Below are 13,735 nucleotides of genomic sequence, written 5' to 3' on the forward strand. Positions count from 1 at the left end.
GGTGCTCGTGATTACTGATTTGTTTCTTGTCATTGAGTTTTGACAGTATGTTACTTAATAAAAAAGAGAAGAAAGAAAAATAAGCTCTTGGAAGTAATTTTCAAGTAGAGGTAGTGGTTTTGTTTATTTTTTTAAGGTACCATATGTGGCATGTGCTTCCTTTCTTTGATGTGAAATCTGAAGGAACCCTTGCCTCCTTCCTAGCACACTTCCTAAATGATAAATGCCCACTCCTGTTCCACCTATGCCCTTCATAAATGTTTTGGCTCCATGATCTTTTTGTAGCAGCCGTGGTCAGTGAATGTTTGAGCAGAGTCTTCTATGCCTGCTTGGACAGCAATTATTAACCTCAACTTGAATGCATTCTATTCGATCTTTCTCCTTCAAAGCGGGAGCTCACCAAATGGTAAAAATCAAGGTGTCTTTGGATTTGAATTAATGTGGCATTAAAAAGTTGTGGTTGCTTTAAAAAGAATTAGGCAGGGCTGGGGCGGTGGCTTATACCTGTAATCTCAGTGCTTTGGGGAGGCTGAGACAGCAGAGTCACTTGAGGCCAGGAGTTTGAGAACAGCTTGGACAACACAGCAAGACCCCATTTCAACAACAACAAAAAAAAATCCTAGCTAGATATGGTGGTGCACACTTGTGGACCTAGCTATTTAGGAGGTTGAGGTAGGAGGATCACTTGAGCCCAGGAGTTCCAGGCTGCAGTGAGCTATGATCATGTCACTGAACTCCAGCCTGGGCAACAGAGCAAGACCCTGTCTGTACATAAATAGAATGAATGAATGAATGAATGACAGGAGTTTCCTATTTAGTTCCGTGAAGGTAGGGTATCCTCATCTTGGACTCCAGAAAGGCGTGAGGGAGGCCATGAAGTAGGCAGAGCCTGGAACCAGAAGGAGCCCCACCCCACCCTCATGTTTCAGAGGAGAAACTGAGGCTCAGGTGGCCTGGGTCATGTTGCTGGTCTGTGGCAGAAGCCAAGTCAGAATCAATGACCCCCCAGGGACTTTCCTGGCTGGGGAGGAGGAGGCGTGGGAGGGATTTGAATAGAATGTGGAAGCGGTTCTGCGAGATGTCATCAGGCTCTAGCAGTCCCGTCTGTTGGTTGGTGCTGGGAGAGGGAATTGGATTCCAAGTGGGGATGGGACCGCATCTCCCCTAGTTCCCGAGATAGACTCGCCTGTAACTGGATCACTCCTTGCAACCTCGGGTAGCGTGTGACTGGAGAAATGAGGGCTGGAGCCGTGGACCATCCGAGGGCCCCTCCCCTGCTGGGTCCAGGCAAAGGGCCGGCCCTCTCCAGCCTCGATTGGGGCGCGATAGCGCCCTTAGTGTCGTGTCGGGTTCCAGGCCACGCTCGGGCATTTTAAGAGGCTGAGGTGCGCCTTCCGCTGCCCGCCTGCGTCCCGCCACGGAGAGCTCGCCTTTATCTAGCCCTCTGGGCGAGAGAAGAAGGCTAATCCCAGCCTGGGACAAGGCTGGCTGAGGCGTGCCGGATCCTCCGGGGACCGATCGGTGGCCTCGCGCGGCTCTCATCGCTCTCCGAGCAGTGCTCCAGGGGGCGGAGGGAGCCTCCTCGGGCGGTGGGGAGGAGGCTGGAGGAATGAGGACGCAGCACGGCGCGCCCTTGCAGCGCTCAGGCTGACGGGCGGGCGGGCGGAGCGGGCGCACGGCTCCTCTAGGTCCGGCTGCTCTCTGAGCTCGCGGGCTGGACGCTGTCCGCGGTGCTGAAGCGGCGCCCGCGGCAGGGAGGCGGACCCGGAGCCGCCGGGCAGCACACACCCAATCCCGGGACCGCCCTCCTCCCAGGCTCGGAGAGGCGGTGGCAGCCGGCACTGCACCCAGATGGACTGAGAGCGCGGCGGCGGGAAGGCGGCGGCGGCGGCGGCAGCAGCAGCAGCTGCAAGAGCCCTCGCAGCCTCGGGGCAGGACCCACGTCCACACCCGAGAGCCCCTCCCTGGGGTGAGTCAGGGCGGGCGGAAGAGGGATGGGGTGGACGGGTCCTGGGGCATGGGATCTCTTGGGCTTTAAAATTTCCCTTCCCCGTTGTAAATTTCTTCCAGCCCAGATCTTGAGCAGCTTTCAGGGCTGAGGGCTCAGAGCTATGCCTCAGCACTTTCCCAGTCCTGGGATAGAGGGCAGGCCCCTCTGCCCTCACAAGCCAGGGGACAAAGGGTTTAGCCAGAAGCCAGACAGTCACAAGGCATGTCCTCCTCTCCACCTTGGGTGCAGCCCACAACAAGGTACCAGGAAAAGCTGTTTGCCCAGGCTGGTGCCACAGGGGGGACAGCTTCCCGTCTCTGGTCTCTGTTCAGAGGCCTGGCCCCGAGCAACCTAGCCACTGGAATTCAGCCCAGACAGAGGCCAGCCATCTTTTAGCAGGGGAAGGCAAGCTTCAGCCTTCACTGGGGCTACAAGCGAGAAGTAGAGCCCTTTCCCTGCCTCCTTCCAGTCTCCGTAGGCACCTGAGCTGCCATGATCAGGGCTTCGGGGCGAGGGTCACTTCAGTGCACCTGGCTGTTATAAGTGAGCTGGACTCAGGCAGAGGAGCTCTGGAGTGGATACTGGGCAGGCACTGCCTGCCAGTGGGGTGTGTGTGTGTGTATGTGTGTGTGTGGTGTTCCCAGCAAGCAAAAGGGATTTTAAACTCCAGTGGTGCCTGTCACAGGAAAAGCCCTTCTCCAGCCAGCCTGTGCCTCTGAGTAAGCAGTTCAGGGTCACGCTGGGCAACTACCCAGCCAGAGGAGCTCTGGGCTTCCTCAGCCCCTACAGCTGCCCCCCTTCTGCCTTGAGCCATCTACTGAAGGGGGAGATGTGTTTAAACTTGATGGGTCACCTCTGCCTTCGACCCTACCAGCATTCGGTTCCCATCTCCATCACCTGGCAAGGTCAGACAGATAGATGTGTTAACTCCTAGAACTGGATGGGTGGGCTTCTGGGGGGCTTTACTGCCTAGGCAAAAGGGATTTGGTGTGTTGGGGAGGAGAGGGAGTGGAGAGGGGAGGTGGAATTAGTGGGACCATCCTCCAGAGCCCTGGAGATGTCTAGTTGTGCTAGATTCCAAGCCATGTGAGATGCCTGTTCTAACCCAATGGATGTAAATGAAGCTTCTGAATCTCGACAGGTTCATTGCTGGAGGACTGAGATCTGTGTTTTGTTCCGTCTATCTAGCTTAAGCTGTGCGCATCAGAAATGACTCTGGTGGGCAGCTTCCTTGGATCATTGGATGCCTGATGGTGCCGATGAAATGAAAGAGGAGGGGGGAAGATATGTGAGATGATGTGCTGGTTTTAGGGTCAGTATGAGCTGCAGTGGTGCTGCAGTGCTGATGGAAATGCATGCCAAGAATGTGTTAGCATTACTTGCATAAAGCAGACCACTTGGTACCCAGGTACCATTTGTTTCGCACCAGTGTTCTGTAGAGAGGGAAGGTCGTAAGGGAAAAGTATAATAACTGCGCATCTGACATATACTTGATTTACATTATTCTTGACCACTTTTTTCCACCCAAAAGTATTTTTTAACTACCGTATAAACACTTTATATTTTGGCCAGATGAATGAACGTCTTTAGAGAATGGTTGTCTGGAAGGATGGCTGACTCATGACTGTACTTTGACATTCTTGCTGACTTGTTTCATAAAAATATGAAGTCCAGAAGCATAATGGCAGGGCAACTAAGCAGTAGGACATCGTTTTTGTTTTGGGAAAAGTGTGTATTTGAGCCTTGCATGTTATTTGTTTTGAAAATTACATTTATAGCCAAAAAAGTTTTCCACTGGTTGAGATTGATCTATCTATCTATATATATTTTAACCCATAGTCTGAGCAACTTAAAACCTCCTCAGTAATTAAAGTAGGATCAAGTTCTCTTCTGTAACTGAGGAAGATACTATCTGAGGGTTGACCCTGGGTGATTGATACACAGTCCTAGATCCAGCTCACAGTCTCTGTTCAGAAGTCCTGACTGGCTTGTATCACATGCAAGCCTGCATTTATGCACAGTTATAAAACGTGCATGAAAAATATGAACACTATTTCTGTCTGGATTTCTCAAGGCAGCAAACAAAGATGTAGTGATGACTATTTGTCAATAGAACACGTTTCATTTTGGTGAAAACAATTGATCTTGTGTTCCTGGTAGAATAGTTAAATGTGAGGGATGGTAGCAATAGCTGTGTGATGTTAATGAGTGAAAAGAGATCCAGCTTTGCAGATTGAGAGACCTGAGTTTGAATCCTGATTTTAACCTATTATTAATTGTATGCCATGATTTAACCTCTATAAGCCTCTGTTTTATCATCTGTAAAACGGAGAAAATAATACCTGGCTGGTTTGCACAGGATTGGCATGTGGGTGCTCAATGTTATTCTAAATATTTCTTACCATTGTCTACCTCCGCTGGTTATTAAAGGAACATGAGTGTGTGTAGCTAAAAGTACCTCAAATTTGTGTTTATGTTCAAACTGTGAAGGCCATGAAAGGACTCAATAGCTTGAGGTGGCCTAGGCCTGCTGGAGGTGGTGTTCCCAAGGTAGGGACTTTTCTTGGGTCTGTTGTCATCCAGGAACATTGGCTGGTCAACCCTGGAGCTTGGGTAAAAGGACAAAGGAAATGTTCCCTCCAGGAGAATGGAGCCTAGATGCCAAAGGCCGTGAGGAGTCTGTTCAGAGAAACCCCTTCCAAGAAAGGTTTTGTGGCAAGGGAGGTTTTGTTACATGGAGAGGCTTCTCTGTCCTGAAATTCTATCTTTCTGATACTGGGTTTCCTCCAACGATATGTGTCTCTTCCTTCTTCTGTCCTGTATGCCCTATGGTAATAGCAGCTAAAATGGGAAGGTGCTTGTTTCAGGCCAGGCTTTCCTGCAGTAACTCAGTCATCATCATGACCCTGTGAGAGGAGAACCACTGCCATCCTTATTATACAAATGAAGAGACTGAGGCTCAGACAGGTCGCAGTGCCCAAGGTCTGACTCTGGCCCTGCCTCTACAGCATGAGGAGAGGACCTCACAGATGAGCTGATGACACAGAAAGGAGGGGCAGCAGAGCCGGAGTCACCCCAATCTCCAGGCTCACAATCCAGTGCTCTCTCCTCACATTGGGGTGAGAGCGCCCCATCGCTTAGTGGCAAGAGGAGGAAGAATAAGCAGGGTTTAGGGCCAGCCAGGCAGAATCACAATGGGGAAGAGCTGGTGTCAGGTACCTTCCCTTCCTGGCCTGCCACATCATCCTGTCTCCAGGATGGGGCTTGTGATCTCAGCAGCTGGGGCAGCAGCCGCAGCAGTAAACAGGGCTAGAAGGTGGAGCAGAGCCCTTGGAAATCAACTAGGCCAACCTCTCATAATATGAATGAAGAGCTTGAGGCCCAGAGAGGAAATGACTCATCCATGGAGGTGTTGGGGGGAGGAGAGAGATCTTTATTCCACTGCCCTGGACAGGAACCCCTCCTAATGGACTGCTCCTCAGTGCCTCTGTGGGAAGCCTGGGTGTTGCTGGTGGCTCTGTCAGAAAGGGCTGCCCAAGTCCAGGGACCTCCATGGACCCTAGAGATACCACTGAGCTGGACAGCTCCTTTTTCTCCCTCCCCACCTAGCAGCTCCATCTGGCCCCTGCTGGCACAGGATTGCCGTTCGCAGACTGCATTGATTTCCATTTCCCGGGTGATGAGATAATTTAAAGGTTATTCAGTTGAGTTTTTGCTTCCCTTGACTTGAGTCCTTTCTCCAAGAGCACCTACTGCCAACAGCCTGAGTTCCAGGCATTGAAATAAAAAGATGCAATTGTTGCCCATAAACTTGAATTGTTTAAGAGGCATGTGTGAACTTTTATAGCTGTTTTGCACACATACCCTGCCTCGATGGTTACTTAATGAGCTTACCCGTGAGGTTGCTCTTTCCACTGAATGGCATTTCATGATGCTGAACCTTGCGCCATTCCTGCAGGTGCGCTCCTTTTCCTAGGTTGCCATTTTCAGTTACTGGCCCCATCTCTCCTACCTTGAACTCCAGCCCCTGCCCCCGCGAGACTCAGCTCCTTCCTCTTCTTGCTGTCTGGGGTCATGCCCTGTTCATTTTCTACCACATTTTCTCTGAATTCTGTCGCTTCCCTCAAGCCGTGCTGCCACTGCCCTGATTGGGCTCCTCATTACTGACTCTTTGCAAATGCCCTTCAGCCAGGGTGCCTCCCTGCACAGGGTCCCTTGTAGACTTGCCCCTATATGCGCAAGCAGATAAATCTTTCAGGAACACAGATTCTGCTCTCGGCACTGCTTTCCTGCTGACCCTTCCCTGGCCCACTACCACCTCCAGGATGAAGGCAGATGCCACAGCCGGGCCTGGAAGGGCTTTCTGCAGACTGGCCCAGCTCCCTGCCTCTCACACAGCAGCTGGGCCTGCTCTTCTCTCCCACATGGTACTCTTTCTCCCTGGACATGTCCCTTCCCTTTCCCACCTCCAGCTCTAGAGCTGCCTCCTCCAAGCCACCTTCCTTCCTCCCCTGAGCTTCCTGAGTTTTCTTTCCCTGCCTAAATCCAGAGCACGCTTGCTCAGTCAGCTATTCAAGGGACCAGCTGGGTCTTTTTTTTGTGGTGGTCTTTCTCTGTTGCCCAGGCTGGTGTGCAGTGATGCAGTCACAGTTTTACACTTCACTGTAGCCTCAACGTCCTGGGCTCAAGTGATCCTCCTGCCTTAGCCTCCTGAGTAGCTGGGACTACAGGCACAGGCCACCATGCCAAGCTAATTTATTTGTATGTTTTTTGTTGAGACAAGGTCTTGCTGTGTTGCCTAGGCTGGTCTGGAACTCCTGGGCTCAAGCGATCCTCCTGCCTCTTCCTCCCAAAGTGCGGGGATTACAGGTGTGAGCCACTATGCCCAGCCAGCCAAATTTTACTGCAGGCCAGGTACAGTGTGGGGCAGCAGTAGTGCTAAAGCCAGTGTTGTGGGTTGAATTGTCATAAGCGAGGTATACACAGAAGACACAGGGAAGTCCCCCCAAAAGATATGTTAGGCCGGGCATGGTAGCTCACACCTATATTCCCAGCACTTTGGGAGGCCAAGGTGGGAGAATTACTTGAGCCCAGGAGTGCAAGGCCAGCCCAGGCAACATAGCAAGATCCTGTCTCTACAAAAAATGAAAATAACAAAATTAGCTGGATATAGTGGGGTGCCCCTGTAGTCCCAGCTACTCAGGACAATGAGGTGGGAGGAACACTTGAGCTCAGGAGGTGAAGGCTGTAGTAAGCCATGATCACCCCACTGCATTCTGGCCTGGGTGATAGAGTGAGACCCTGTCTCAAAAGAAAAACAAAAGATATGTTGAAATCCTAACCCCTTGTACCTGTGAACATGACTTTGTTTGGAAATAGGGTCTTTGCAGATGGAATCAAGTCAAGATGTCTTTTGGGTGATTCCTAATCTAATATGTCTGATGTCCTTATGAGAAGAGAGAAGTGTGGACTTATGCCGGGCGTGGTGGCTGACACCTGTAATCCCAGCACTTTGAGAGGCTGAGGCGGGCCGATCACGAGGTCAGGAGATCGAGACCATCCTGGCTAACATGGTGAAACCCCATCTCTACTAAAAATACAAAAAATTAGCCAGGCGTGGTGGCGGGTGCCTGTAGTCCCAGCTGTTTGGGAGGCTGAGGCAGGAGAATCACTTGAACCCGGAAGGTGGAGGCTGCAGTGAGCTGAGATTGTGCCACTGCACTCCAGCCTGGGTGACAGAGCGAGACTCCGTCTCAAAAAAAAAAATGTGGACTTAGACACACACACAGAGGAGACCACCAGGTGAAGACACAGACAGAGAGGGGAAGGTCATGTGAAGTCAGAGGCAGAGATTGGAATTATGCTGCCACGGCCAAGGAACACCTGAGGCTACCAGGAGCTGGAAGAGGCAAGGAAGGATTCTCCCCTAGAGCCTTCACAGAGAATGTGGCCTTGCTGACACCTTGATTTTAGACATCCGGCCTCCAGAACGGCAAGCAGATGAATTTCTGTTGTTCTAGGCCATGACATTTTTGGCAGCCCTAGGAAACTAACACAGTGAGTAAGACTCCTTCCCAGCCCAGGTGCTGGATATTTTTCAGGGAGACAGACTCTCCAATGGAGCCTTATGAGTCAGTGTGGTGAGTACTGCGAGAAATCGAGAAGTGTATGATGAAGACTCTGAGAAGGGCCTTCCACCAAGCAGCCTTCCAGCCCCTTGCTGGGGTGGCAGCTGTCAAGGAAGTCTCCTTGGGGGAGGGAAGGCTCATACCCCATGTTCAGAGATGAGCAGAAGTCCACCAGGGAGCGAAAGCCAGGCTATCTCAGGCCCCGTGAGTGAAGGCATGAGAGCAGGGAGCAGCCGGTGGAGCCAAGGCCTGGGACTGGGGAGTGCTGAGCCCTACAAGGCTTAGCTCCTAGTAGGCTGTGGTTTGCAAAGGACTTCGAACTTGAACTTGACTCTGTTCATATCAGGGAGCCATGGAAGAGAAATGACAGGGAGCAGATGGTAATTTCAGTAAATTGTCCCCATAATGTCATGGAAGATGGATCTGAAGGGGTACACATGGAAGCTGAGACCTCAGAAGTGAGCTAGAGGTGTGGCTGGTCGAGGTGGAGAAGACGATATGGATTTGCAAATGATTTGGTAAGGACTTGGGGATTCATTGCATATAGGGACACAAGGAGAAGGAGAAACTGCAGGAGCTGACCCTCAGGTCTCTGGCTGGTGCCTAGGGAAAGAAAGAATGGTCTGGAGAGGGAAAAGTTATGATGAGGGAGCAGAGGAGAGATGTCGGGCTCAGCTGGGGACCGGTGGAATGTGGGAGACATCCAAGAGACAGTGGAGTTCTATAGCTTGGAGGGGCAAGGCTGTGCTGGTGCTACAGATGGGGAAATGTGAATGGGGGATAGGATATGGAGCTATGGACATGGACACCATCGCTTGGGCCCATCATGGAGTGAGAAGACGATGGGAGAGAGGACTGACTCATGTCCTCAAGCGAGGACAGAGGAGGTTAGAAGACAGTGGATGTGTGGCAAGAGGACCAGGGGGTTTCAAAGAGGGGTGGTTGGTGTGACTCAGGTCTTCCACAGGAAGTGGTCTATGGAGGGCATCAGACAGGGCCACTGGATTCAGGGATGACTTGTCATTTCTTGCCTTTCCTTGTGTCTTCTGTGTACACTTGCTTATGACACCCTCTATCCATTTCTGGCACCTCTCCTGACACCTCTCTGGGCTATGCTGTCCAGAGCAGACCTGATGAGGTGAGTGCAGATGCATGCCTGGACAACCGCACAGGTAGCCTCTCCTGGGCAGCCACAGCCATTAATCTCAAGGTCACTGGTGTCCACGGCCATGAGCTTCAGCCGGAAGCCTGGCTGCAGAGGGTGAGGTGAGGCCTGCAGCCTGGCCAGAAGACAGGTACTATACCTGAGCCCCCGCCCCCACACCTGGTTGCAGCTGTGTCCATTCTTTGCAGGGCCCGTCACCATGGGCGGCTCTGCTCCTCCGCCTCATAGGAATTGTGCCACGGGTGCGCCAAATGATCCAGCCCCTCTCTGATTGCTGCCTGCCAGGTTGGTCTGTGTGCACTGATGCGGTGGCTTCTCTGATGTGATCTCTGGGCCCTCCTGCCCAAAAACTCACCCAAGGAGTATTCTTCTATATGCCTGACCTTCCACCATTAGAGAGTCACTCGTAGGGCATCACAGGTTTCAGCGTGAGCCGGAGTTGATCCTGGCACACTCTCTCCAATTGTAATTTGTTGAGACATTAATTTTAGTTAGGAAACACAAGATTGTGAAATATTTCAAGATTCTAAAATTTATAACATAAAATTTAGTCATCTTTCATGACCCCTCCCCATCTCACTCATCTCCCTAGAGATATACTCACCAATTTGTCAGTACTGGTATTTTCCAGATCTTTTCCCATGCATTTACAAAGCCATATAAGTATACACAACCCCCCCCCCACACATACATATATAAAAATGAGATTGTACTGTACATACTGATCAAGAGCTTGCTTTTTTCCTTATCAATGTATTTTGGAGATCTTTACATGTTGATACAAATACATCTCTTTTATTTCTTTTTAGTTTCTGATTTTATTTTTTTTATTTTTATTTATTTTATTTATTTATTTATTTATTTATTTATTTGAGACAGGGTCTTGCTCTGTCACCCAGACTGGAGTGCAGTGGTGCGATCTCAGCTCACCACAACCTTTGCCTCCCAGGTTCAAGAGATTCTCGTGCCTCAGCTTCCCAAGTAGCTAGGATTACAGGCATGCACCACCATGCGTGGCTATATTTTTTAAATTTATTTTTAATTTATATTTATTTATTTGTTTGTTTATTTATTTATTTTTGAGATGGAGTCTTGCTCTGTTGCCCAGGCTGGAGTGCAATGACACAATCGCAGCTCACTGCAACCTCTGCCTCCCAGGTTCAAGTGATTCTCCTGCCTCAGCCTCCCAAGTAGCTGGGATTACAGGCGCCCACCACCACACCCGGCCAATTTTTGTGTTTTTAGTAGAGACGGGGTTTCACCATGTTGGCCAGGCTGGTCTCGAACTCCTGACCTCAGGTGATCTGCCCACCTCGGCCTCCCAAAGTGCTGGGATTACAGACATAAGCCACCGCGCCCGGCCTATTTTTTTTTTTATTTTTAAAGACAGGGTCTTGCTTTGTCACCCATGTTGGAGTGCAGTGGTGTAAGCATAGCTCACTGCAGTCTTGACCTCCTGGCTCAAGGCATCCTCCTGCCTCAGCCTCCGAAGTACCTAGAACTACAGGTACACGCAACCACACCTGGCTAATTTTTTATTTTTTGTAGAGACAGGGTCTTGCTATGTTGCCCAGGCTGGTCTTGAACTCCTGCCTCAAGGAGTCTTCCCACTTTGGCCTCCCAAAGTGCTGGGATTACAGGCATGAGCCACCACACCCAGCCTTCTCATTTTTATTTTTTATTTTTTTATTTTTGAGACAGCCTCGCTCTGTCGCCCAGGCTGGGGTGCAGTAGCGCAATCTCAGCTCACTGCAACCTCCTGCTTCCAGGTTCAAGTGATTCTCCTGCCTCAGCCTCCTGAGCAGCTGGGACTACAGGCGCGCACCACCATGCCTGGCTAATTTTTGTATTTTTGGTAGAGACAGGGTTTCACCATGTTGGCCGGGCTAGTCTCAAACTCCTGACCTCAAGTGATCTGCCTGCACCTGCCTCTCAAAGTGCTAGGATTATAGGCTTGAGCCATCACGCCTGGCCTCATTTTTTAAAGAACAGCATAGAATTCCATAGTGTATTATAATGTATTTAATCATTTTCCTCTTGATGAACAATAGATTCTTCACATGTTGTTACTATTCCAGAAAGTGCTGTGCAAATCTCCCTCTACGTGCATCTTTTACATATGTGTGAGTTTTTCCATTGCATAGATTTCTAGAAGTGGAATTGCTATGTTACAAGGAGATGCACCTGATAAGTATCAACAGATGCTATAAAATTGTCAGCCAAAAATAATGCATAAATTGATATGATCCAACAGTGTGTATCATCCACAGAGGCGACCCCATCATTCTTTTTACTCCTTGTTACTCTGATGGGTGAATGAAAAGGCATTTCCTTGCTCTATTTTGCATTTCCCTTATTCTCACTGAGACTGTGTCTACTCTTATCTGTTTATTTACCCATCGTGTGTATTTTGTGACTTGTATATTTATATTTGTTGCCATTGTTACTCTGGATATTTGTGGATTTAATTGTTGATTTGTAGAAGTTTATTCTAGCTATGGTTATTTCTCCTTTGTTGGTTATATATTTTGTGAGCATTTTTTCATTGTTGCTTATCTTTTCACTGTTTTTGTGGTGCTGTGGAATTTCTAAATGTTTATATTGTCATGTCTATCCATCAGAGGCTTGTTTTTTAGTAGTAGGGGGAAAATGGAGCCTGGAGGCTTACGATGTTGCATTCTTTTTTTTTTTTTTTTTTTTTTTTTTGAGATGGAGTCTTGCTCTGTTGCCCAGGCTGGAGTCCAGTGGCGCAATCTCAGCTCACTGCAACCTCTCGGATTCAAGTGATTCTCCTGCCTCAGCCTCCTGAGTAGCTGGAATTACAGGTGCACACCACCATGCCTGACTAATTTTTGTATTTTTAGTGGAGATGAGCTTTCACCATGTTGGCCAGGCTGGTCTCGAACTCCTGGCCTCAAGTGATCCACCTGCCTCTGCCCCGCAAAGTGCTGGGATTATAGGCGTGAGCCACTGCGCCCAGCCACAATGTTGCATTCTTGACCCTTCTGTAGTCTCTGCTTGCTCTTTGACTTTGAACAAAACTCAACTTCACTAAATTTTAATTTTGCAAGCTATATAGCCATGCTGTCTGTCCTGCCCATCCTCACCCAGCTGCTGCAGGGATAACAGTGATTACAGGAATCACAGGAGAAGCTGTCTTTGATGGGGCTTCACAGTCATTCACATCTTCACAGTTAAACTAATTCCTTGATGGACATTGAGATTGACTCTTCTAGCACCAGCCTTGTGTAGGGCAGTGGTGTGGGGACAGCTGGTGCTGGGACCCTTACCTAACTTTTCCCAGATGACTTTTTTTCTTTTTTTTTTTGAGATGGAGTTTTGCTCTTGTCATCCAGGCTAGAGTGCAATGGCATGATCTCAGCTCACCGCAACCTCCGCCTCCCGGGTTCAAGCAATTCTCCTGCCTCAGCCTCCCTATTAGCTGGGATTACAGGTGCATGCCATCACGTCCAGCAAATTTTTTATTTTTAGTGGAGATGGGGTTTCACTATGTTGACCAGGCTGGTCTCGAACTCCTGACCTCAAGTGATCCACTCGCCTCAGCTTTGGGATTACAGGCATGAACCACCATGCCCGGCCCCAGATGATGTTTGAGTGCCCGCCTGTGCTGGAGATACTATCCTCACAGCTCTGCATAAGGAAGTATATGAGTCAGCCTGGGCTGTCATCACAAAATGCCACAGCCTCGGTGGCTTAAACAACAGAAATTGATTCTGTCACAGTTCTGGAAGCTAGAAATCCAAGTTCCAGGTGTCGGGAGGTTTGGTTTCTTCTGAGGCCTCCTCTGCTTGTGGATGGCTGCTTTCTTGCTATGTCCTCACATGGTCCTTCCTTTGTGTATATGTTTGTGTCCTCATTTCCTCCTCTTCTTATGAAGACACCAGTCGTATGGATTAGGGTCCACTCATATTATCTCGTTGGGTTTTTTTTTTTTTTTTAAGATGGAGTCTCACTCTGTCACCCAAGCTGGAGGGCAGTGGCTCAATTTCAGCTCATGCAACCTCCGCCTCCCGGGTTCAAGTGATTCTGGTGCCTAGTCTCTTGAGTAGCTGGGACTACAGGCACATGCCACCACTCTCAGCTATTTTTGTATTTTAGTAGAGATGGGGTTCCACCATGTTGGCCAGGCTGGTCTCAAACTCCTGACCTCAGGTGATCTGCCCGCCTTGGCCTCCCAAAGTGCTGGGCCATATGATCTTGTTTTATCTTAATTACCTCTTTAAAGGGCTTATCTCCATAGAGAGTCACATTCTGAGATCCTGGGGGTTTGGACTTCAACATATGGATTTTGGGGGGACACATTTCAACCCATTACAGGGAGATAGCACCATGTCTGGATGAGAATCTGGGAAGTAAAGCTCAGAGAGGCTTCTGTACTTGCTTTCAGTCACAATAAGCAGCTTGTAGATCTGAGCTCAGACTCCTGTGTTT

The 13,735-nt window shown here is 49.5% G+C and overlaps 1 protein-coding gene across 4 annotated transcripts in view, besides 3 other annotated features; it reads left to right on the forward strand.

The window, feature by feature from the left end:
• Positions 1-13,735, forward strand: part of OSBP2 (oxysterol binding protein 2) — a 214,032-nt gene that overhangs the window by 107,427 nt on the left and 92,870 nt on the right. The gene's annotated exons all lie outside the window — the stretch shown is intronic.
• Positions 1,637-1,736: a silencer, noted in NCBI's record as "silent region_13619". NCBI's record gives its function as "represses an Ori minimal core promoter by ATAC-STARR-seq in GM12878 lymphoblastoid cells {active_cell/tissue: GM12878}" and the evidence as "EXISTENCE:reporter gene assay evidence [ECO:0000049][PMID:35858748]".
• Positions 5,294-5,588: an enhancer, noted in NCBI's record as "tiled region #14933; HepG2 Activating non-DNase unmatched - State 10:DNaseD, and K562 Activating DNase unmatched - State 9:DNaseU". NCBI's record gives its function as "activates a minimal TATA promoter and a strong SV40 promoter by Sharpr-MPRA in HepG2 and K562 cells {active_cell/tissue: HepG2 | K562}" and the evidence as "EXISTENCE:reporter gene assay evidence [ECO:0000049][PMID:27701403]".
• Positions 8,894-9,395: an enhancer, noted in NCBI's record as "H3K4me1 hESC enhancer chr22:31206089-31206590 (GRCh37/hg19 assembly coordinates)". NCBI's record gives its function as "activates a minimal SCP1, AML or CMV promoter by ChIP-STARR-seq in naive H9 embryonic stem cells {active_cell/tissue: H9 hESC(naive)}" and the evidence as "EXISTENCE:reporter gene assay evidence [ECO:0000049][PMID:30033119]".

This window comes from Homo sapiens, chromosome 22, assembly GCF_000001405.40.
Source record: "Homo sapiens chromosome 22, GRCh38.p14 Primary Assembly".
Lineage (NCBI taxonomy): Eukaryota > Metazoa > Chordata > Mammalia > Primates > Hominidae > Homo > Homo sapiens.